A 25,599-nucleotide genomic window follows, 5' to 3' on the forward strand; every position below is an offset into this window, starting at 1 on the left:
GAGGTCGGGTGTTTGAGACCAGCCTGACCAACATGGAGAAACTCCGTCTCTACTAAATATACGAAATTAGCCGGGCATGGTGGCGCATGCCTGTAATCCCAGCTACTCGGGAGGCTGAGGCAGGAGAATCGCTTGAACCCGCGAGGCAGAGGTTGCAGTGAGGCGGGATGGAGCCACTGCACTCCAGCCTGGGCAATAAGAGCAAAACTCCATCTCAAAAAAAAAAAAAAAAAAAATTTTTTTTTTTTTTTTTGCAGATTATATAGGCCAGAGCAGGCATGCCTTCTCTTGCTGTAAATAAGGTTTATAATACAATGTAGCAGAATACAGCCATGCTTATGCCTTTACATGGTGACCCTGGCTGCTTTATCCTTTCCCCTGCTCCTGGGAGTGAACTAGGTGTTCTTTTATTGAGGTGAAATTCAGATAACATAAAATTGGCCAATTTAAACTGAACAAGTCAGTGGCATTTAGTACATCTGCAACACTGAACAATCACCACCCCTATCTAGTTTCAAACTCTTCTTTCCTCACTCCAAAAGGAAACCCATACCACTTAAGCAGCTGCTCCCCATGGCCGCATGACATGGTTTGGCTCTGTGTCCTCACCCAAATCTCATGTCGAATTGTAATCCCCACATGTTGAAGGAGGGGCCTGTTGGGAGGTGACTGAATCATGGGGGTGAACTTCCCCCATGCTGTTCCAATCGAGTTCTCACAAGATCTGGTGGTCTGAAAGCGGAGCACCTCCCCCTTTGTTCTCTCTTCCTCCTGCTCCGGCCATGTAGGACGTGCCAGCTTTCCCTTTGTCTTCTGCCACGATTCTAAGCTTCCTGAGGCCTCGCCGAGCCATGCTTCCTGTAGAGCCTGTGGAACCATGACCCAATCAAACCCCTTTTCTTTATAATTTACCCAGTCTCGGGTAGTAGTTTTTTTTTTTTTTTTGAGACAGAGTTTCACTCTTGTTGCCCAGGCTGGAGTGCAATGGCGCGATCTTGGCTCACTGCAACCTCTGCCTCCTGGGTTCAAGCAATTCTCCTGCCTCAGCCTCCCCAGTAACTGGGATTACAGGCGTGTGCCACCACACCTGACTAATTTTTGTATTTTTTTAGTAGAGACAGGGTTTCACTGTTTTGGCCAGGCTGGTCTTGAACTTCTGACCTCAGGTGATTTGCCCACCTCGGCCTCCCAAAGTGCTGGGATTACAGGTGTGAGCCACCATGCCTGGCCAAGGCCGTCTCAGGTAGTTCTTTACAGCATGTGAGAACGGACTAATACACCCCTCTCCCTAGTTCCTGGCATCACCAATCTGAATTACGGCTCCATGGATTCGTCTGTTCTAGATATTTCATAAAAATGGAATCATACAATATGTGGCCTTTTGTGTCCGGCTTCTTTCACTTGGCAGGATGTTTTCAAGGTTCATCCGTGTTGTTCCATGTGTCAGTATTCATTCCTATTTATGGCTGAATAACATTCCATTGTATGGATATGCCACATTCTGTTTCTGCAGCAATGGCTGCTTTTGCACTGTAACTGCAATGGTGAATAGCTGCAACACAGATCACACGGCCTGGCCCACAAAGCTTACTATCTGGCCCTTTGGTGACAAGGTTCGCTGACCCCTAGTTTATACCATCTACCTTCAGAAGTGGCGATTTTCCAAATCAGCTTGTATTAATGATCACTGAAGCGCTGTTTAGGGAAGAAAAATGCTGGACATAAATGTCTGTCATTAGAGGACTGGTTAAATTACAGCAAACACATACTACGTAATACCATGCAGCTCCTCAGAAGAATCAGGTAAATCTGTACGTGGTGATAAAGAAGCATCTCTGGGATTAATTAGGCTAAAAAAGCAAAAGCATGCAATGCATGTAGTATATATTCCTTTCCCCTTAAAAAATAACCCATAAATAAGTGCATATATACATATCTGGGTAACACTTTCCCCAGAATCAAAAGAAACGTTCACTTTTCATTTTGTACCTTTCTGCACTATCTGTAATTCCTAACCTTAAATATGCATTTCCTTATTAGCACTGTCAATAAGTGTTAGCTAAATGAGGAAACTATGGTCTGTTTTCTTCTTAATAAGTCTGTTTTTAGAAGTAATAATGAGGAAGCAATCTAATAAACGTTATTTTTTGTTGTCGTTGTTTTTTGAGACGGAGTCTCTCTCTCTGTCACCCAGGCTGGAATGCAGTGGCACGATCTCAGCTCACTGCAACCTCTGCCTCCCGGGTTCAAGCAATCCTCCTGCCTCAGCCTCCTGAGTAACTGGGATTACAGGCATGCGCCACCATGCCCAGCTAATTTTTGTATTTTTAGTAGAGATGGCGTTTCACCATGTTGTTAAGGCTGGTCTCAACCTCCTGACCTTGTCATCCGCCCGCTTCAGCCTCCCAAAGTGCTGGGATTACAGGTGAGAACCACCGTGCCCGGCCAAATGTTATGTTTTTAAGGAAGAAAATTCAAAGCAAAATGCTATGTTGAAAACTGACATGAGTTATGTCTTTTTATGAGCTTTCAATTACTTTATTTTCTTACCCTTGCAGGTCAGTGATCCTCCAAAGATAAAAGAAAAACACTGTGCCACAGGTTAGAATTTTTTCTGCCAGAAAGCTAGACACTGCACCAGACCATCTTTAAAGACGCCGTCCATATCAGTCACGGGCTGAGTTGCAATCCTAGTTTTCCGCTGATTATTACTGAGAAGCATACCACATCTGTCAGCCACAGGACACTGCAAATCTTCTACTGCCACAGAGTTCAGTATGGCAGTGACTTAGGCTTCGGCACACAAGTCAGCCATGACAGGTTGGTTTGTAGGGTTTATCTACGCATTCTGATGGTCCCTACACATTTTCCAGATGTGTTGACCTCATAAAACTGCCACCTACCCCAGGCTGTGAAAGAACTGCTCCAACCATATTTTTCCCACCCCTCAACTCTAGCAACACCTTGGGTTCCCTGGCTGGGCGACCCCCTAAGATATGAAGCTGGGTTGGCTGTCAGTCCTGAGCCCTGACAAGAGAATAACAGCAGGGTGGCCGGGCAGCCAGGCATTTTTGCATCCGCCCAGTGCTGGGAACTGACGCATTCCTCGTTCCCTGGGGCCTAAGGTTCTGCTTGGTTTTGGGTCCCTGCAAGATTGGGGCCCTGCCTACTTTCTCAACCAGTTTATCCTTCAACCCTCTCCCTCAGGCCCCAAAAGTTGCTGCTGAAGGTCCCTGTCAACAGGCAAACAGTCAACCCACTACAGACACTCACTCACCCTGCCTCCAGGCCCTCTCTCTGCCTGGGGCCTCGTGTTACACCTGCCTAAAGTGCAGCGCCTGGCCTTCCTCCCCCTGCCTCTGGTTAGGATCTCCATTCTCCCTCGATCCCCTCTTCTTCCACTGTGACACTCTGGTTTCCAGATCCTTATTCCTCTTCCCTCCAGGTCATGCCCTGGCCCATTCTTGATCAACTTCGAGTTACAGAATCAGCTCTCTCATACAAGCATTCTGAACAGGTCACTGGGGTATGGTAGATACTTGTAGTATATTTTCTTCAAAAAGTTACAAACAGATTTAACTGAGGAATCAATCCAAAATCGAGAATATCATCTTTCTTGGTGCTGCCTAGGTACAAAGCACTTTGTATATCTTCCGAGGATGCAAAGATATGACAGTCCCCTTCCCTTAAGGAGTTTGAAATTTAGTAGAGAAAAAACAAATTCAGAAATAACTATAAATCATCCAAAGCAAAGAATACCATGTAACACAAGAGAGGTTAAAAGTGCCAGAGTGTAGAGGATGAAGAGATCATCTCCAATTGGGGAAACTCAGGAAAAGATTCATGAATGAGGCAGCACCTGTGGCTGATACTGATGAATGACCAGGATTTTTATGGGGTAGGACAGAGGCCACAGTTTCTGACTAAGAAAAAGTATATTTTTCAAATCTTCTATATTAAATAATGAGCAAATCTGGCCTCTTGTCAATATGTTCTTTCTAATCAGCTGGCTTTTTGTCTGAAACACTACATTATATCACCCAACACTGTACAGAGAAAGAATGCCTTCTAGGTAGTCATCGTTCAACAAAATCTCAGTAACGTCACAAAAATCTCAATACTTCAGATTTACAAAAATCTCAATAACTTATCACACATGCTCCTGTCCAGGTTCATTCATTTTAATCATATAATACATGATGATTTATTTGTATTTATAAATTATGTATACTGTTAATATCTGAATGGTAAATGACATGATTCTTTTGATTGTCATTAAAATAAAGAGGTACACCTGAAGCAAGGTGGGGGCACTCCACTTAATAATTGCACTTAATGATAATCGCTACCAGCTATTGAGCTACTGAGCACGACACGGACTTTAAATATTATCACTCAAAAGGTTTTCATGGTGAAAAGCAAACCATGTAAAAAATGTTCATTACAATCCATCATGATCAAAATTTCAATGTGTTAAGATGTTATCTTCAGTAATAGTTGCAAAATAATTGCGGTACAGCATTTAGTTCTTTCTTCCAGTTAAGTGACAGGCAAACTGTACAGCTTCACAGGTTCTACTAAGCACGGACGACAATCTGAAATAGTCCACTAATGTCCCTCCAAGCTCAGATCCCTAGCACATATTGGAGTTAGGGACTTCAGCCCAGGCCAGAGAAAAGCTCAGTACACACATCTAAAGGCTTGGACGTCTACAGATGAGCCAGTCTCAATCTCTCTCTTGCACGCACGTATGCACGCGCACACACACACAGCTGAAACATGGCTCCAAAGTCCCATCCTTCATCCTATAATAACTGTCTCTCTCTTCTCAAGTAGGATCAGCCAACCACTAAAAAGCACCCTGTTAATTAGAACCTAGACAATCTGTCTTTAATCTGATACAATGCCTAAGTAGCCCAAAAATGCTGAATTTCAACGTTTTGAAGGATTTATTCTATGCTAATAAAGAACTGGGGGCCAAGTGTGGGGGCTCACACCTGTAATCTTAGCACTTGGGGAAGCTGAGGCAGGAGGACTGCTTAAGTGTAAGAGCTCAAGACCTGCCCAAGGCCAGGCACGATGGCTCACGCCTGTAATCCCAACACTTCGGGAGGCCAAGGTGGGTGGATCACCTGAGGTCAGGAGTTTGAGACCAGCCTGGCCAACATGGCGAAACCCTGTCTCTACTAAAAATACAAAAATTAGCTGGGCGTGGTGGTCGGCACCTGTGGTCCTAGCTACCTGGGAGGCTGAGGCAGGAGAATTGCTTGAACCTAGGAGGCAGAGGTTGCAGTGAGCCAAGATCGTGCCACTGCACTCCAGCCTGGGTCACAAAGCAAAACTCCATCTTGAAAACAATAAATAAATAAAACTAAAAACTAAAGACCTGCCTGGGCAACACAGTGAGACCTTGTCTCTAGTAAAAATTTAAAAAATTAGCCAGGCATGGTGGCACATGCCTGTGGTCTTAGCTACTCAGGAGGCTGAGGTGGGAGGATCGCTTGAGCCTGGGAGGTAGAGGCTGCAGTGACCTTATGGTTGAACCACTGCACTCCAGCCTGGGTGACAGTGCGAGACTGTCTCAAAAAATAAAGTAAAATAAAGAATGATGGTGGTAAAATTTATCCTCTGAAGATTTTCAGAGGTTTTACACTGAGCAAACAAAATAATTCAATATAAGTTATATCTTGTAAGAGACACACCTAGTATTACCAGTCTATCTCTTACTAGATATAACTTATATTACCTAGTATTACCAGTGTATCTCTTACTAGTTAAGAGATAGAAAGATAGTCTGAAATTCCCATTTTACCACTAATTACCTTTGAATTTCTGTGATTTTTATAACTACTTTCAGCTTCCCAAAGTTCACATTTCCTATTTGCTCGGTTGGAAGTAAGAGAGTTGCTATCTAGAGGCTTCTGGGTATTCCCCAATTTGCAAAGAGAATGAATTCCAAAAGTGTATTCGTGGCTTAGTTGTTCAGAACTCAAGGATGCCCAAATACATGTTCCCATAGAAATAACGTTGTATATGTGGCAGACCCGTTCCCAGGTGGCCCATGAGATCTATCACACCATGTCACAGGAGTAGCAGTCTTGATCCAGCCACACCTGATCACTATGCACAACAGTCTGAACCCGAGTCTGCTGTGTGATGCCAGGAACACGCCTCCCCAGTGTGGCAGGCAGTCACCTGGGCATCCTGAGACTTGTGTGTTGAAGGAGCAGGACAAAAATCCATGTCGGTATTTCTGCTATAATGTGATATATACATTCCTGAAAAATCTCACATCCTACAAAATCACACTTGAAAAATAACGGGATGAAAAAGGCTGTTGGGGTAGACCACTAAATCCCTCTGTAACTCTGTAACCAGAGCACTAACCAAAAGAATAATTAATACCTAGGGAGATGACTTGGACAGCCTAGGCAAGCAGCTTGGCTGTGGCTGCGGCTGCCTCGAGGGATATTAAACACACAAATGACAGAGTGGCAACTGTTGGCTCACAGACAGAGTGGAGTTCTGAGCCAGGAGCTATGTTAAGGTGGACACAGAGGGAAGATGCCTGCTGGGAGCCCAGAGTCCTAGAAGGCTAGCGGGTGCCTGTCCTGGAGAGAAAGCGCTGGGTGCAGGCACTCATTTTTAATTTTCTTAAAATAGAGTTGAAAAGCGTGTCTGCTGCCTGTGAGGTTCTTTCCTTTCTTGCTGAAGGCTGTAACTCTACTCCGGCAATTCCTGCTCCTCTGGCCAAAGAAAAACTGCTTCTGGATCAATCTAACCTCCAGGATATACTGACATCATTCCTCTGCTTTTCAGTTGAGCTGACTCGTGCTATGGACCCAAGGGCTGTAGCACACAGAACTGCACTCCTAGGACCAGTGGCTGCTGACTCCTCAGAGTTCTCACCTGGTTAGAGAAGGCCCTTTCCAAGTCTCCCATTTCTAAAAACTCTGAATCAGAGAACAGGGGGTAGTCATCCTGTGAGAGGTAAATTCTCTTGACATCCATGACAATTCAGGCAAGTCTTTTGTATTCTACTTAGTCACCAGAAATGACTTTTGTTTTGTTTTGTTTTGTTTTGAGATGGAGTCTCACTCTGTCTCCAGCCTGGTGGGCAGTGGCGCGATCTCGGCTCACTGCAAGCTCCGCCTCCCGGGTTCATGCCATTCTCCTGCCTCAGCCTCCCGAGTAGCTGGGACTACAGGTACCCGCCACCACGCCCGGCTAATTTTTTGTATTTTTAGTAGAGACGGGGTTTCACCGTGTTAGCCAGGATGGTCTTGATCTCCTGACCTTGTGATCCACCCGCCTTGGCCTCCCAAAGTGCTGGGATTACAGGCGTAAGCCACCCCGTCCGGCAAAGAAATGATTCTTAATCTCTCTTGAGGTGTGTTCACCCTGAGTGGATCAGTCTGATTTCTGGACAAGCCCTGTCTGATAGAAATGTAATGTGAACCATGTCTGTAATTATGAAAAAGTAAAAAGGAACAATGGCATATTTTATTTAACCCAATATAGCCAAATATTACCATTTCAGTATGTAATCAATATAGAAATTATTGGCAAGATATTTTGAATCTTTTTTTCTGGCACCATATCTTCCAAGTTCAGTGTTACCTTGTACTTACAGTACATCTTAATTCAGACTAGCCACATTATAAGAGCTCAATAGCTACAAGTGGCCTGTGGCTACTATAGTGGACAACACCGGTCTATTCAGAGGCTCTGTTGATAGCAAAGTGTCATATTTCTAGAGACACATAATTGAAAGAAAATGCAACCAATGAGGCACAAAACATGTTTTTCAAGTTCATAGCCCCATATTTCATGAAAGGGTACCTTTGACTTGGTCAGTTTCAGTGCAAACATATTAATCCTTAATTACCCAGAAGATTCAGTTAACCAGAACATCCCAATCCCTTACTATATACTCAGTGGGGTTTTTAAAACAGTTTTATTGAGACATAATTCACCTGCCACAAATTTACCCATTTAAACTGTATAATTACATAGTTTTTGGAATGTTATACTATTAATTTTTTAAAATTGTTTTGAGATATATATATCTAAAATGGCAAAATGGCACATTTTGTTTTATATATTATATATAAAATATATAAATACATTATTTATATATTTTTATTATATATTTTATATACATATATTTATATATAATATATAATAAATATTTATATATAACATATATTTATATATTATAAATATATAAATATATGTAAATAGGCCAGGCACGGTGGCTCACACACCTGTAATCCCAGCACTTTGGGAGGCCTAGGCAGGCGGATCATGAGGTCAGGAGATCAAGACCATCCTGGCTAACACGGTGAAACCCCATCTCTACTAAAGGTACAAAAAATTAGCCGGGCGTGGTGGCGGGCACCTGTAGTCCCAGCTACTCGGGAGGCTGAGGCAGGAGAATGGCGTGAACCCAGGAGGCGGAGCTTGCAGTGAGCTGAGATCGCGTCACTGCACTCCAGCCTGGGCGACAGTGCAAGACTCCATCTCAAAAAAATATATATTATATATTTTATATTATATTATATATTATATATATTATATTTTATATATTATATATAACATATATATTTTATATATTATATATAACATATATATTTTATATATTATATATTATATATATTATATATAATATATAATATATATTATATATATTATATATTATATAGAATATATTATATATAATATATTATATATTATATATAATATATATAATATATATTATATAGAATATATTATATATAATATATATATTATATATTATATAGAATATATTATATATAATATATATATTATATATTATATATTATATATAATATATTCTATAGAATATATATATTCTATATAATATATATATTCTATATAATATATATATTCTATATAATATATATATTTTATATATAAATAAATATAAATATAAAATATATATAATTTATATATAAAATATAAAATATATATAATTTATATATAAATAAAATATAAATTATATATAATTTATATATAAATAAAATATATATTATATATAAAACAATTTGCCATTTTAAAGTATATAATTCTGTGGCATTAATTACACTAACAGTGTGGTATAACCACCACCACTTATCTATTTCCAAAACTTTAAAATTATCTCAAACAGCAACTCTAACCATTATGTAATAATTCCCCATTTCCCCCTGCCCCTAGCCTCGGTAACCTCTAATCTACTTTCTTTCTCTGTGAATTTGCCTATCCTAGATATTCCATATAAGTGAAATCATACAATATTTGTCTTTTTGTATCTGGCTTATTTCACTGAATGTCTTCCAGGTTCATATATGTAATCGCATATATCAAAACTTCATTCTTTTTATGGCTGAATAATAGACCATTTTAAGTACATACTACAACTTGTTTACACATTCATCTGTTGACGGACAGTTGGGCTCAGTGGTTTTGGCTTTTTTTTTTTTTTTTTTGAGACAGAGTCTCGCTCTGTTGCCCAGGATGGAGTGCAGTGGCGTGATCTTGGCTCACTGCAACCTCTGCCTCCCAGGCTCAAGTGATTCTCCTGCCTCAACCTCCCAAGTAGCTGGGACTACAGGCGACCGCCACCATGCCTGGCTAATTTTTTGTATTTTTAGTAGAGACGGGATTTCACCATGTTAGCCAGGATGGTCTCAATCTCCTGACCTCGTGATCCACCCGCCTCGGCCTCCCAAAGTGCTGGGATTACAGGCGTGAGCCACTGCCCCCGGCCTTTGGCTTGTTTTTTAATAAATCATGAGTTGCTGAGCATCTCATTGGGTAGCAGGGGTTTTTTTGTTGTTGTTGTTTTGGTTTTTTTTTAGTAGAGATGGGGTTTCACCATGTTGGCCAGGATGGTCTCCATCTCCTGACCTCGTGATCCACCTGCCTTGGTCTCCCAAAGTGCTGGGATTACAGGTGTAAGCCACTGCGCCCAGCCTTTGGCTTGTTTTTTAATAAACCATGAGTTGCTGAGCATCTCATTGGGTAGTAGCATTTTTGTTGTTGTTGTTTTATTTTTCTGTTTTTTTTTTTAGTAGAGATGGGGTATCACCATGTTGGCCAGGATGGTCTCGATCTCCTGACCTCGTGATCCACCTGCCTCGGCCTCCCAAAGTGCTGGGATTACAGGTGTGAGCCACTGCGCCTGGCCTTTGGCTCATTTTTTAATAAATTATGAGTTGCTGAGCATCTCATTGGGTAGCAGGGTTTTTGTTGTTGTTGTTGTTGTTGTTTTGTTTTTTTTGTTTTTTTGTTTTTTAGTAGAGATGGGGTTTCACCATGTTGGCCAGGATGGTCTCGATCTCTTGACCTTGTGATCCACCTGCCTCGGCCTCTGAAAGTGCTGGGATTACAGGCGTGAGCCACCGCGGCTGGCCAAGGGCAGCAGGTTTAAAGGAAGAGAGAACACAGTCATGACACTGGTGCTGTGGCTGAATTCTAGAAGGTAGTCCTCTTCCCAATTTTACTAACTGAGAAAAGTAACAAGGTAAGGCTCACTTGTTTAAGAACAGCAGGTTAGCAACAACATAGTGCCAAACGTTCTGACATTAACATCATGGTGTTAAGACCACGAGTGCTGTACTGTCTCCAAATACAGGTCAAGGCTATGCTTGCAGAGCTTTCCCAGAAACCTCCCTTCCTTTTCCTTTCTGAAGTCAGAGTGTTCCTAGGACAACATTTTGGTTCATAAAACATTTTGTAATGCTGTGACTATCTCAGCATACAGGATACCCCTCTCACTTCAATCTCCTTGTTTTCTAATAAAATCAAACATTTCAAAAATGGCATTAATGTAATGGATGAAAGAGTTACACTTCACCATCATTTTAAGTTAAAAAGAAGTATTTGAAAAAATAAATTCTGATTCTAATGCTCGTTCTTGAAAGTTTGCTTCAAGCAGGAAAACAACTGCTTTTCAGATTCTCTTTTTCACCTGGCTTTTTTTTTTAAGTTCTTAAGTAAAAATAAAAAAGTTCCAATTGATTTTGTAAGTTTTGTGATGGTAAAACAAGATGTGGAGCAAACATTTCAGAATACCAAACAGAGTTAATTAATTCCAGTATAAGCTCCTCACATACGGCCAGAGCTTGCAAGCAGATGTGCTGGCTAAATATCTCAGGTCAATCTTAGCACATTATTGAAAGTAACCTCCCATTCCTCAGAAAAGTCTGGCCTGCAGCTTACAAACTAGAGCAAACAACTTAGACACATGGAAAAGTAGAATTTAACATCTCCCGATTTCCACTCTCCATTTATTTCCAAACCTTCCATCTAAATCGGAAGAAAAAAAAAATGCCCTCTAGTCACACATAGGCCACACTAAAGTATTAGCCACTAAAATAAAAGATGAGGAAGCAATTTTAAATGCAGTCACCACAAATGTGTTTTGGGAACTTTCACCTTGTCTCTCATAAACTAGAAAGTGTACTTCATGTTCCTTTTGGTTTCGAATGAGCAAGGCATTTCAACTATTAACATTTCATTTCCACCACGTGTCTGTTTCAGAGCTAGCAGCTGGCCTATTTATTTTGCTAGCTGGTGATAGAATTAAATACAGAGTCTTTGAAAACATTTACAAGCTTTCCCTCTAACCTTCTGTGTACTTTCCAAATTAGGCTACTTTGATTGTTATTAGCTAAAGGTTTACGTACTGGAATACTAACACTGTTACCTTCAGAGTAAATTGTTTATAGCTCAGGTGCAGTTTAGAACATTTTCCTCCATGGAATACTCTTGAGATTGAGGAGAAGAAAGTTGAACTGGTTCACTCTGGATCAACAAGTTTCCTTTGTGAGTCAAACAATATTAAGGCCACACAGATATGGATGCAGTCAGGGAAACCAGTTGTGAAAATAGTTCTAGTCCTCTACAAAACCACAGGCTTCCTTTGTGAGCTCCCAAATGCTTTATAATCTCAAAATCACCATCGTCATAATGCACTCCTAAGATTTATTCTTTGACACTAGCGTTTTGATGTGGAAGACAAGGCATACGCCTGGACCCCAGGCCAGTGTGGGTTCAAATCACGTCTCCTTCACTTATGATGAGCTAGACGGTCTTAACCAAATAACCCAAGTCTTTAGTTTCAAAATCAGCAAAACGGAAATAGTAATTTCCACTTCATAGCTTTGTCGTGAGCACTTGCATTGCACAGATGCTCAATTAGTGGTTTGGGATGAAATCAAAGATCCTTCATCACTATAAGCTTTTCTCAATCTCTTCGGCCCACAATATCACTCATGAAAAGCATCCATTCATTCTTTCATTCAGTCAAAAACTACCTATTGGCCCTACTGGAGATAAGAAGTTCCTCCTCCATAGATTGTGATGATGGTTTCATGGATGTACACCTATCTCCAAACTCATCATGTTGTAGGCATTAAATATTACCATTTTTTGTATGTGGGGGAAAAAAGAATGGGAAAAAATGTGGCCCCTTCTCTTAAGGAATACACAGAGTACTTCAGGGGGTCACAGATATTAAAACGGGGGAAGGGAGGGTGGGAATCCAAAAGAGTGAAAACTCTAGCTGCTCCACAGAGTATTGTGAGGACCCAGAGAAATGGGCCAACTCTTCCTAGGAAAGTGAGGAAGAGTTTAATGGGGAAGATGATATTTGAACTACGGTTGTGTGTGTCTTTTAGGTAAGAAAGATGCTCTTCTTGAGCATCATAAGCAAGGAGAACAGCACAGAAGAAGGTAAGGAGTGGTGAGATGGATTGCTGTAGTCAGTGCAGCTACAGAAGAGATGATGCTGCCTAGGGGGTAAAACGGGCTTTAGTATGTCAGGATCTTTTTTTTTTGAGACGGAGGCTCACTCTATCGCCTAGGCTGGAGTGCACTGGCGCAATCTCGGCTCACTGCAACCTCCGCCTCCCAGGTTCAAGCAATTCTCCTGCCTCAGCCTCCTGAGTAGCTGGGATTACAGACAGGTGCTACCATGCCCGGCTAATTTTTTGTATTTTTAGTACAGACAGGGTTTCACCATATTAGCCAGGAGGGTCTCGATCTCTGGACCTCGTGATCCGCCGGCCTCAGCCTCCCAAAGTGCTGGGATTACAGGCGTGAGCCACTGCGCCCAGCCAGTATGTCAGGATCTTAAAGTTGCTATTTCATCCTCAATGTGACAAGAAGCCACTAGAGGATTTTAGCATGAAAACAACACAATCAGATTTGTTTTTAAGAAACTAATTGCGTTAGCAGAGGGGAAGACAGAGTGGAACACTAAAGGACTTGTGGCAGGAAACCCAGCTAGGTATAGCCATAGTTCCAAGGCAGAGAAGACAGGGTCTGGGATCAAAGCAAATTAAGGCAGCAGAGGTGGGAAGAAAAATGTGAGAGACAGTTTCAGAGGTGAAATCAACTGAATTCAGTGACTGGCTGCAGATGTCTAACTGATATAGGGCAGGCAGGCTTAGCCTGGGAGGGTTCTTGGCTTCACCCAGGAAAGAATTCAAGGGTGAGCCAGAGGTGAGCGGCAGTGTGCAGCAGAGGTACTGTTCCTTGTAGAGCAGGGCTAACTCATAGGCAGTGTGTCCAGAGCAGCAGCATATGGGCTGTTGGCTAGCTGTATTTATATCTACTTTTAGTTGCATGCAAATGAAGAGGTGGGTTATTTAGACCTTTTAGAAAAGGGGTGGGGCATTTCTAGATGCATAGAAGATAACTTTCAGGTCATTCCCATGGCATGTTGCCACGGCATTTGTAAACTGCCATGGCACTGCTGGGAGTGCCTTTATGTTAATGAGCAGTGAGGGCAACTGGAGGTCACTTTCATCACCATTTGCTGGTTTCAGCTGGCTTCTTCACTGCACGCCCTGTTTTGACCACATCTTTCTCCAATCAGTGGGTTGTGACTGGTGCTCAGAAAACAAGTCCTGCTGATCTCCTACCTCATAACCTTGAAAATAAGTTGGAGGGTGACACTAATAACCAAGATAAAGAACAAAAGGAATGGAACAGGTTTGTGGGGAAAGATACTGAGCCGTGTTTTAGACATGTTGCATTTGAAGGACCGTTCAGGTGAAGATGCTGAGTAAAGTTGGAAATATGGATCTAGGAATGTAGAAAAGTACAGATTGAAACGTTAACATCTAAAAAAGGCTAGAGCACAGGAGATTAGGATAAGCATTAGCCATTATGAACAGGAGAGGACCCCAATAAGAGCATGCAGAGTGAGAGAGACCCAAAGACAGAACCCTGAAGAGTCCAGGATTCAAGTGATGTTCACCCATATACGTCAGTTTCTGCTTAACGATATGCATGCTGACTTTCATCGTTACTTATCTGGATTGTGAAAACATGCCCTGTTTCCCCAGACAAATTAAAAACATAAGGCTTTATACCCACTGCTTAAAGAGCACCTAGAACCATAATAGGTAAATAGAAGATATATGTGGAATTGAAATAGAGGAAACTTACATGGAGTAGAAGAAAACGAGCGTTCGATTAAAGAGGGCCTTTAGTAACAGCCTAAGGAATTTTAACTTCATCCTTTAGATAATAAGAAAACAACCAGAGTTTTTTGAGCATCAAATCGTGTCACAAGAACAGTATTTTCAAAGGTTTAAGTATATGAGGTAACATATATGTTAACTATCTCCATTTATTCATTCTACAATGTATATATATTTCAAACAATATATTTTACCTAATAATAATTTTTGTCAATTTAAAAAATTTTAAAAACAAAAGAGTGGTATATGGAGGGATGAGAGAAAAACAGACTCTGCAGGGAAGGAATCCGTTACAGTCTGACTGTGGGAATCAAGCCACTGGTTCTCAGGCAAGCTACAGCCAAAAGGGATATAATCCATCTAGCTAAATGAATGAAACAACATACGTGGGTCCTGAAATGTTTTTCTTAAAATGTACCCCACCTTGGCTGGGCGCCGTGGCTCACGAGGTCAGGTGATCGAGACCATCCTGACTAACACGGTGAAACCCCGTCTCTACTAAAAATACAAAAAAAAAAAAAATAGCTGGGAGTGGTGACGGGCGCCTGTAGTCCCAGCTACTTGGGGGGCTGAGGCAGGAGAATGGCATGAACCCGGGAGGCGGAGCTTGCAGTGAGTTGAGATCGTGCCACTGCGCTCCAGCTTGGGCGCAACAGAGCAAGCCTCCATCGCAAAAAAAAAAAAAAAGTACCCTACCTTTGACTTGCCAAAAGAGAGATAACCATAATAAACCCAAAGACTCCATGAAAGGCAAGTCAGAAGTGGGCACGTAGAATGGGGAAAGTACACTAGGGTCTCTGGGCATCTAAAATGATTCTGATTTTGAAAAATATCAATACACAAAAATACTGGTGAGGGTAAGATGGCCAACACGCTTCGGACAGATCACAGACACTTTGACCTACTTGGGTTTTAATCATTCAGGATAACAATTACGACCACGATCAACATAACATGGTGGATGATGAAGAGCTGGCTGAAAACATCTGAAAGAGCTGGCTGAAAACATCTGAAAGAGCTGAAAGATGTTTGGCCTGTATCAATGTGGCCCAGCTCTGGGATGTAGGGATCTAGGCAGATTTACAAAATAAAAAGCAGCATTGTTTGTCTGCTGCCTCCCACCATCTGTTCTTGCCCCAGGTTAGTGGAATGAAACAAACTCTCTGGGCAAGATATTGACTCACATTTTTCAAACGCTGACTCCTGGTTTGGATACAGAGCTGAGGTCAGAATTCTTAGGTCCTTTTCCAGCCAAGCTGATTTTAGGACAGGCAAGCAATCACAAAATACTCTTCTGTGCAATAAATATGAAAATACTTAACCTCCTTAGGGTATTATGAAGCATAAATCATGCCTTTAAAAGCCTGTGACAAGCTGAAATGAAAAGCGTTCAAAGTGGAGAAATACAATGAAACCACGACTATAAGCACTCACTGAATTTTGAGCAGACAGTTGTACTATTAATTTAATGAGGTTTATGGTTTTAAAAGTATTCATCAATAGCAAATATCGCGTTGCTTAAATATTCCATTACTCGATCATCTGTCTAAATGCGCTCTGGTCTCCAACATTGATTGGCTTGCTCAAAATGGCTAGTTTCTTTCTCTCTTTTCTTTCCCCACCAAAAGTACTGCTTAAAGGAGCCATTAACAAGAGGATTCACTCGTCAGGGCTACAATGACTTGCAGCTGGAAGATCCACCTACAAATATACATCCATTCATAAGGCTGATACAACAGCTTTCAGGGAGGGGATGTGCATGAAATGGACACAAGCGAAGAGTAACAATGGCAGGGATTATCTTTTAACTGGCTCATGAGTGAAAAAATGAAATTGCAGACGTCTGACAACTGTAGCTTTTTCAGTCAGTACAAATTAAATTATAAACCTACAGCTACACATTTACTCTTTATGAGTTGATTTCATGTTAGGCCTCAATAGTTACTTATTCCTGGTACAAACGTAAACCAGCAGTTGTGCCATTTAAGAGATTAGTTCAATTAATACTGTCCCTGCTAGGCTAGGCCTTATATCTATAAGCAATTCAGTGTCTGGCTTGCTAATTCATACTCTCACTTTGCCTTTTCTTTGTCAGTCAAAGAAATTAAGCTGGAGATCTCACCAGGCCGGCCACTTTCCCAGTCTCTTAGACGCCTCTGTTTGCGGCCATTGCAGTGATTCCATGATGAATTTCAATCATTAGAAAGTTCTTCCTAAGGTAAAAAGCAGAGCTGGAATCAACTGGTACTTATTCTGGCCTTTGAAATAAGGTATAAAAAGCCCATTTCTCGCTGGGTGCGGTGGGCTCATGCCTGTAATCCCAGTACTTTGGGAGGCCGAGGTGGGCAGATCACGAGGTCAGGAGTTTGAGACCAGCCTGGCCAACATGGTGAAACCCCAACTCTAAAAATACAAAAAATTAGCCAGGCATGGTGGCACACACCTGTTGTCCCAGCTACTCAGAAGGCTGAGGCAGAAGAATTGCTTGAACCCGGGAGGCGGAGGTTGCAGTGAGCCGAGATTGTGCCACTGTACTCCAGCCTGGGTGAGAGTGAGACTCCATCTCAAAAAAAAAAAAAAAAAAAGGCCATTTCTACTGTAAAACATTTGATCATCTCTCCTCTACAACACACTACCCCCCTCCCCCACCCACCTCTTAAATATCGTATAAATGCAAGTGTGCGCCAAGGACCAGCAACTCTGGCATCGTCTGAGAGCTGGTCAGAAGTGCTGACTCTCAGGTCCCACCTTGGCCCTCCTGAACCAGTATCTGTCTTTTAACAAGATCCCCAGGTAATTCATTGGCACACTAAGGTTTGGGAAACACGGCTTTAGACCAGTGGTTGGTAAACATTTTCTGCAATGGGCCAGGTGGTAAATATTTTAGGTTTTGTAGGCCATACGTCTCTGTTGCAACTACTCAAAACTGCTGTTGCGGTGCAAAAGCAACCATACATAACACACAGTCAAACAGCCGGGCGTGGTGGCTCACGTCTGTAATCCCAGCACTTTGGGAGGCCGAGGCAGGTGGATCACAAGGTCAGGAGATCGAGACCATCCTGGCTAACACGGTGAAACCCCCGTCTCTATTAAAAATACAAAAAATTAGCCGGGCGGTGGTGGTGGCGCCTGTAGTCCCAGCTACTCAGGAGGCTGAGGCAGGAGAACAGCATGAACCCGGGAGGCGGAGCTTGCAGTGAGCTGAGATCACGCCACTGCACTCCAGCCTAGGTGACAGAGCGAGACTCCATCTCAAAAAAACAAAAAACAACAACAAAAAAAACCATAGTCAAACAAACATGGCTGGTTTTTGTTTGTTTTGCTTTTACAAAAAGTTTTATGGACACTAAGGTTTGGATTTCATATAATTTTCATGTGTCACAAAATAGCTTTTGATTTTTTTTCAACCATTTAAAAATATAAATGCCATTCTTGGCTCATGACCTGTACAAAAACGGGATAAACCATAGCTTGCTGATCCTAGCTCTATACTCTGGCACTTCACATGATATCATTTGCTGGTTTCACCTGGGCCTGGTCCCAATTCTAGATAAGGTATTCCAGTTCATTAATGCAGCATGCATAACTGAATCAAACAAAACAGATGAATTTTTAACAGTACTGAGCAGAGCAAGACCATTATTTCTCATGATTTGAACATAGCATTTGTTTTGGTGAAGACCAATGCCTAACAAAACACTTATTTTAATGTAGCAGCATACAATGTGGCTGGACATTTGTAAACAATTAAAAAATTGATATCAGTTTGCAAAATTTACTTATATCTTCAATAGTCATATCTTCTCCACACTATAATAACTAATTGTTATGATCACTACTGTACTTACTGCCATATAATTTTTTTTTTTTTTTTGCGGTGGTGTGATCTTGGCTCACTGCAACCTCTGCCTCCCAGGTTCAAGTGATTCTCCTGCCTCAGCCTCCCGAGCAGCTGGGACTACAGGTGCGTGCCACCATGCCCAGCTAATTTTTGTCTTTTTAGTAGAGATGGGGTTTCACCATGTTGGCCAGGATGGTCTCAATCTGCTGACCTTGTGATCTGCCTGCCTCGGCCTCTCAAAGTGCTGGGATTACAGGCGTGAGTGAGCCACTGCACCTGGCCAAATTTTGCAATTTTTTAATCAGGAAAGCACCATCAATACTGCTTCCTGGTGGGGTGAGGAGGAAGTCTGGAGCTGGAACACATTCCCACACATTACCATTTTTTCCTTTTCAATTCTCACCCCAAAAGTACCCCCGGCATATAGGGAAAATAAAAAGACGCATGGCAAAGGGTATTCTGCAATTAAGTTCCTCTCCACATGGGATTGTTCAAACCTTGGTCAGGATGGACAGGGGAAATTTGCAGCCTAAATATAGTGGTGGCATAAAGTAGGTCATTTCCAGAACCATGGAAAATACCACTGGGAAAAGGGCAAAAGGAAGGAAGTCATAAAGAAGAGTTGACAATTATTTCTATAATGGTTTCCAATCTGGATACTCCCTTACAGCCTATTTAAGAAACATGGAATCGGATGATTTGAAACATATTTCCTAACTCTAAAATTTGGAGATTTGTTATTAGTACCATTACCTACCTAGTTATATGTGCTCAAAGGCTGGGAATCCTCTCTGATTCATCCCTTCCACTTGGATTTCCCTTCAGATCCATCCCCCAAACCTGCCGATTCCTCCTTTATAATCCCTCTCAAATGTGTCCCCTGCTTTTCATTCTCATTGTCACCATCTTAGTTAACACTTCACCCCCAATTTACTGCAGTTATCTCCATTGGTCAATGACGTCCATGATGTTTCACATTATTGCCCAATACAATCATAGTGAATCAATGATTTTTTTTTTTTTTTTTGAGACGGAGTCTCGCTCTGTCACCCAGGGTGGAGTGCAGTGGTGCGATCTCGGCTCACTGCAACCTCCGCCTCCTGGGTTCAAGCGATTCTCCCACCTCAGCCTCCTGAGTAGCTGGGATTGCAGGCGTGGACCACCACGCTCAGCTAATTTTTGTATTTTTAGTAGAGACAGGGTTTTGCCATGTTGGCCAGGCTGGTCTCAAACTCCTGACCTAAGGTGATCCACCCGCCTCGGCCTCCCAAAGTGCTGGGATTACAGGCGTGAGCCACCGCATCCAGCCTGATTTTTTTTTAAACCACAGTTACTGTCATTTTGAACAGTCTTCAGTAATTTCCCAACACTTGAAATGCCGGCTCCATATCCTACAAGCATTTCAGTTTCCCCAAAGCTATCACCCACTCCTCCTTCGCTTCACCATGGCTGGCCTCCTCTCCATCTCCAGCTCCCAGGGGTTGACTCCACTCCTGTGCCTCATCCTTTCTCACATGCTTCCTTCATCACCTCCAAACTGGAGTTAACATTTCAAACTCAGGCCAAATGAGAGGCGTGAAGATGTACTCAAATAATTACTAATCCTGAGTATGAAGGGGCAAATGCTAAGATGAATACAACATAATGCAAAAAGATTAAAATGAGACAGGACCTTTAGAAATTTAGTCAAATACGGCTGGGCACGGTGGCTCACACCTGTAATCCCAGCACTTTGGGAGGCCAAGGCGGGCGGATCACGAGGTTGGGAGATCAAAACCATCCTGGCCAACATGATGAAACCCTGTCTCTACTAAAAATACAAAAATTAGCCGTGTGTGGTGGCATGCACCTGTAGTCCCAGCTACTTGGGAGGCTGAGGCTGGAGAATCACTTGAACCCAGGAGGCAGAGGTGGCAGTGAGCCGATGTTGCACCACTGCACTCCAACCTGGCACAGAGCGAGACTCCATCTAAAAAAAAAAAAAAAAGAAACTGAGTCAAATATCCTTATATCCTTTGACCTTGTTAATCACACTCCTGATCGTCCTCATTCTTTTCTGACTGCTACTTCACAACACCCTTCCTGTAAATAATGGGGCTCCCCAAGGCGCTGCCCTAAGACGCTGAGCTCTTCTCCATCTATGCTCAGCACCATGGCTTTTTTTTTTTTTTTTTTTTTTGAGACGGAGTCTCGCTCTGTGCCAAGGCTGGAGTGCAGTGGCGCGATCTCAGCTCACGGCAAGCTCCGCCTCCCGGGTTCACACCATTCTCCTGCCTCAGCCTCCCAAGTAGCTGGGACTACAGGCGCCCACCACCACGCCCGGCTAATTTTTTGTATTTTTAGTAGAGACGGGGTTTCACCGTGTTAGCCAGGATGGTCTCAATCTCCTGACCTCGTGATCCGCCCACCTCGGCCTCCCAAAGTGCTGGGATTACATACCGCGCCTGGCACCATGGCTTTGATTACCATCCACAGGCTGACTCTCAGATCTAAAATTCCAGTTTATAGGTCTCCCCTGAGCTCCAGATTCAAAAGCAGCATACTATTTCTGACACACCTAAGCTGAGAGCACCCCACGTGTCTTCGAACTCAGTGTCTTCTCACTTTACCGCCACACACGTTTTTCTTCCTGTGTGCCCTATGGCAGTCAAGGCCATTGTCATCTATGCAGCTGCCTGAGGCAGAACCCAATCAATCACTGGTCCTACTACTTTTAAAACCTCCCCTCCATCCATCCACTTCTCTCCCTATCTTCTCATCCTAACCACTCCAGTCTAGGCCAACATCATGTCATGACTGAACTACTTCAAGCCACCTCCTGACTGGTTTCCCTGTCTACCATCCCAACCCCGCTCCTATCCATCATCTACATTACTCCCAAGCCATAGTTTCTTTCTTTTAAGATGGAGTCTCACTCTGTCACCCAGGCTGGAGTGCAGTGTTGCAGTCTCAGTGATCTCAGCTCACCGCAACCTCCGCCTCCTGGGTTCCAGTGATTCTCCTGCCTCAGCCTCTCAAGTAGCTGGGATTATAGGCATGTGCCACCACGCCTGGCTAATTTTTTGTATTTTTTGTAGAGACGGGGTTTCACCATGTTGGCCAGGCTGGTCTCAAACTCCTGACCTCATGGGATTTGCCCAACTCGACCTCCCAAAGCGCTGGGATTACAGGAACAAGCCACTGTGCCCGGCCTGTATCTTCTTTATTGAAACTTTAGTGGTCACCTTGGAGCAAAAGAAGTGAATAGTGGAGGTCCCAAATTACAGCACTGAGGGGCAAGCATTGTCTCCAGGTGGTATAGATGAGTAGCAGTGGTGTGGTATATTATTAGCAGCCAGACTCCTAAGAACGTGTGAGATATCCTCTTGGGACTCATTAAAACATTTAGAGAGGGGAGTCAGTCAGGTATGGATGATAATGTTAATATGGCCTCAGAGGCATCAACGTAATGCATTTATAGTCAAAAGCTGATGAAATGTGGAGACATTCTGGTTATAGATTGAACTAAGATAATCTCATAGATAAAGGGGCTACAGGGTGCTATGGAGAGTTGCTCAGATGTTTGGAAGATACTAGTCATCATGGCAGTTAACATCAAAGAAGATAATCATGCCCTTCTGTAATGTGTCCTCCTTGCAGGTTACCTTCAAACACAGGCTTGGGAATGTGGAGGATCATATATCCAAAAGGGCAACCACCACTATTCTTAGGAGTTGCTAATCTTCACGTTTGGAGCTGAATGATTAAATCAACTACTGAAAGCAGCCATAGGGCCTTCAACTCTTTTCTCTTTCCCAGAACAGAACTAGAGTCACTCATTCATTAAGCATCTACAATGTACCTACTATATGTAAGGGAGAGCACAAAGATAGACCACACACAGTCCGCATCCCCAAGGAAATTTAAATTAAGCAATGTGGGACAGTCTGTTGCGAGTTCATGTGGTATGATATTGGAGGGTACCACTAAGCTCACCTAATAACTGCTTCTTAACAAAGAAATCCCTTCTAGGGCTCCCCCGAGCCACAGAGCCATTCCCCTTGAGCCATAGAGCCACACAGAGCCACTCCCTTGAGCCACAGAACCACAGTCATTGTCCAACTGTGCAATAATCTGAGGCCAAGGTAATTTCCAACCCTCCTTTTCCAGAGTTCTCTTCTTCCTAACTCATTTATATTATTTCTACTGGCTCCTCTGTGGGTCTGGAACCCCTACTCTTCTCTAAGGAGAAATGAGGAACCCCACCTACCATAGGTGCAAAACATTCCAATGTTCCTTTGTATTTCTCTACTAAATGACAACTAAACAGAAGCTGTTTGTCTGGTGGGCTGACATGATCACAGGCAAGGCGGACCATCAGCTCTTATTACCAAATACCCAATATACACCCTTCCTTTTTGGCCCTTCCTCAAAGTTTTCCACTTTGCCTGGCCCTTTTCATGAATAACTTCCTGTGTCATCATGTGACACGACGAATGATTTCTGTCATCGTGTTCATTCATACCTATCCAGAACATACCATAGCACTGTATCATACCTAGTTTGACACAAAGACCTCCCTCACACTTCTATTTCCTGTCCACCAGTCCTCATCCCATTCTTTATTCACACACACTTTCGCACATTCTTCTCTCTTTCTCTCTCTCTCTCCTTTATAGAGACAGAGTCTTGCTATGTTGTCCCAGGCTGGTCTCAAACTCCTGCCTCGAGCGGTCCTCCCACTTTGGCCTCCCAAAGCATTGGGATTACAGGCATGAGCCACCCCTCCCTGTCTGTTCTTCTCTTAATTACTTCTTCAGCTCTAACAACGCAAAGCGCATCTGCTAGCCCTTGGTTTCTGGATTATCCTGCCCCTCTCTGCCCTAGTGAATCTTAAGAAAGTTCACAATCAGTACGACAAATCATGTGTGTCCTGACTAGCGCTGATTTGGTGGAATTATTTCCAGTTTAGATCTGGTCCTTCCTTAATTAATAATAATAAACCTCAGTTAAAGTTGTGTAGCATTTTCCATAGCAGTAACACAATGTTAATTTCATCTTGAGCTTGGAGAAGTCAGCTAAAGTCCTAAACCTCAAGATCTTTTTATATATAAGGGAGAAGTCTCCAGAGATGGTGCATCCATGAGCACATCATCTTTACTAAAGAAAAGCAAAATATATTTATCTTCTATGTATGCACACAAACATGTATTTTTTCTTCCTTTTTTTAGTGCAACTTCCTGACCTCTGAAAACAATTTCTTTAGGATACTGGCTGTAAATATTTGCACGGATTGTTCAATAGCTGGTTGTGCAAAGGGAGACAGGCTTTTTGTCTTTACCCCGGAAAAGAATTGAAACAGACTCTTTCTTTCAAAAGTTGGCAGAGATATGTTACAGAGGGGTCCAGCTCATTTGTAGAAGCAAACATGTTGCCGTCTAACACAGATTGATCACCAGCTGGGAAGCAAGTCATTCCACCGTAGGTTCACAATAACACTGGCTCTCTGCTGAGCTGCTGACCACTGGTGACAGATTGATGTGTAGTTCGAGTGGAGAAGCTAGCTAAAGAGAACTTAGGGAAGCTGAGCAGGTTGCAAGTGTATTATTCATGCACTCTCTGCCCAGAAAAATAAAGTTCCCCACCTTTCTGACCTAAGTTTGGAGAACCGTTAGGGACTGAGTTTGCTTTGTGACTTTGAAGGCTGCTTACAGCTTTCCAGAGCAACATAAAAAATGAATACCTATTGGCACTCCAATGAAATGCCAAAATCCACAAAGAGAACGACCAAGGAACATTTCTTTTTTCCTTTTCCCACTGCGAGTGAGAAAGAAGAGACATGATATTTCATGTCACTGCTAAAGAGTTTGTTTGGTAAAAAACAAATGAAAAGGTACAGCTTGTTAACACCACTCAGAGGTAGACAGTCCAGGGTCTCAGAAAGAAGAATGGCATGCCCCTGGGTTTCTTTTAGAATGCGAAGAGTGGTGGCCGGGGAGGGGGGGATGGTGGGGGAGGGGGTTGGGGGGTGGGGGTGAGGGCTCACGGAATGAAGAGCTTTAAAACACCACGCAAGCGGGGAAGGCATATTTACTTAAGAAAACTGGTACCTAAGTTGTAAATCGGAATAACAGATCAAGCAGGTACCGTGTTTTATAAGTTTGAGTCATTAAATTTTCCAAGATTCTGCATGCTTTTCAAACCATAAAAGACCCACTTCCAAACTATTACCCACTTTTTAAACCATGAAGATACATTAAGCACACTACTTTTTCAATAGCAGTTTTTTTGCACATCTTTTCTATCATCTTTCCTTAAAGAATATACATTTTTTTCTTTTTTTCTCTTTTTTTTTTTTTTTGAGACAGAGTCTTGCTCTGTCTCCCAGGCTGGAGTGCAGTGGTGTGATCTCAGCTCACTGCAAGCTCTGCCTCCCGGGTTCACGCCATTCCCGACTCGGCCTCCCGAGTAGCTGGGACTACAGGCGCCTGCCACCACGCCCGGCTGATTTTTTTGTATTTTTAGTAGAGACGGGGTTTCACCATGTTAGCCAGGATGGTCTCGATCTCCTGGCCTTGTGATCTGCCCTCCTCAGCCTCCCAAAGTGCTGGGATTACAGGCGTGAGCCACTGTGCGTGGCCTCCTTAAAAAATATTTTAAACAAAGACATTTAGCACAAGAAAACAGAATAATTACATGGGGGCCAGGGACTATTTTATTCACCATGGTGTCACTAAAGCCTAGAAGAATGCCTGGCACATAGTAGATCCTCACTAAATATTTGCTGACTGACTATTCATTGGAAGCCAACTTAGCAACACTGTGCTTTATTATTCTAGCTCAGATTTAATGATAAAATTTCATGAGCATTTTCCCACAACTTTCGAAAATTATTTTAATGAAGAAATACAAACATAACTGCACCATTTCTGCTATTACCACCACGTCCACAGTTGAAACTATTAGTGTGAAGTGAAAGCTGAATATAAAGAAGAAATTTAGCCCAGGGGATTAATTTCTTCAAGGCTGGTGAGGAGGAGGAAGCAAACTACTGTTTTCCTTTTCACGGGAGTGCTACACGGGTTACTATCCACAAAGATAGAAAGGAATAAATAAGTAGTAGTTAATGATGAGGAGAAGCAACAGTTTTTTTGGCAGTAGTACAAAGCCAGGAAATATAGCAGTTTCCAGAGAGTTGCATGTGCTTTTCAGTGAAAAGGTTTGAGATAGCACTTCCTAATGAAATGCCAAAATCCACACCAAGAATGACTGAGTAGCAGT

At 42.5% G+C, this 25,599-nt stretch overlaps 1 protein-coding gene across 4 annotated transcripts in view; it reads right to left on the reverse strand.

Moving 5' to 3' along the window:
* Positions 1–25,599, reverse strand: part of STX8 (syntaxin 8) — a 325,350-nt gene that overhangs the window by 170,706 nt on the left and 129,045 nt on the right. The window contains exon 7 of one of the 4 annotated variants that reach the window (XR_934120.3): positions 16,621–16,711. The exons of the other annotated variants lie outside the window; for them this stretch is intronic. The gene's annotated coding sequence lies outside the window, so the exon portion shown is untranslated. The remainder of the gene's footprint in view (positions 1–16,620; positions 16,712–25,599) is intronic. 4 annotated transcript variants of the gene reach the window in all.

The sequence above is a fragment of the Homo sapiens genome, chromosome 17 (assembly GCF_000001405.40).
Source record: "Homo sapiens chromosome 17, GRCh38.p14 Primary Assembly".
NCBI classification, from domain to species: Eukaryota; Metazoa; Chordata; class Mammalia; order Primates; family Hominidae; genus Homo; species Homo sapiens.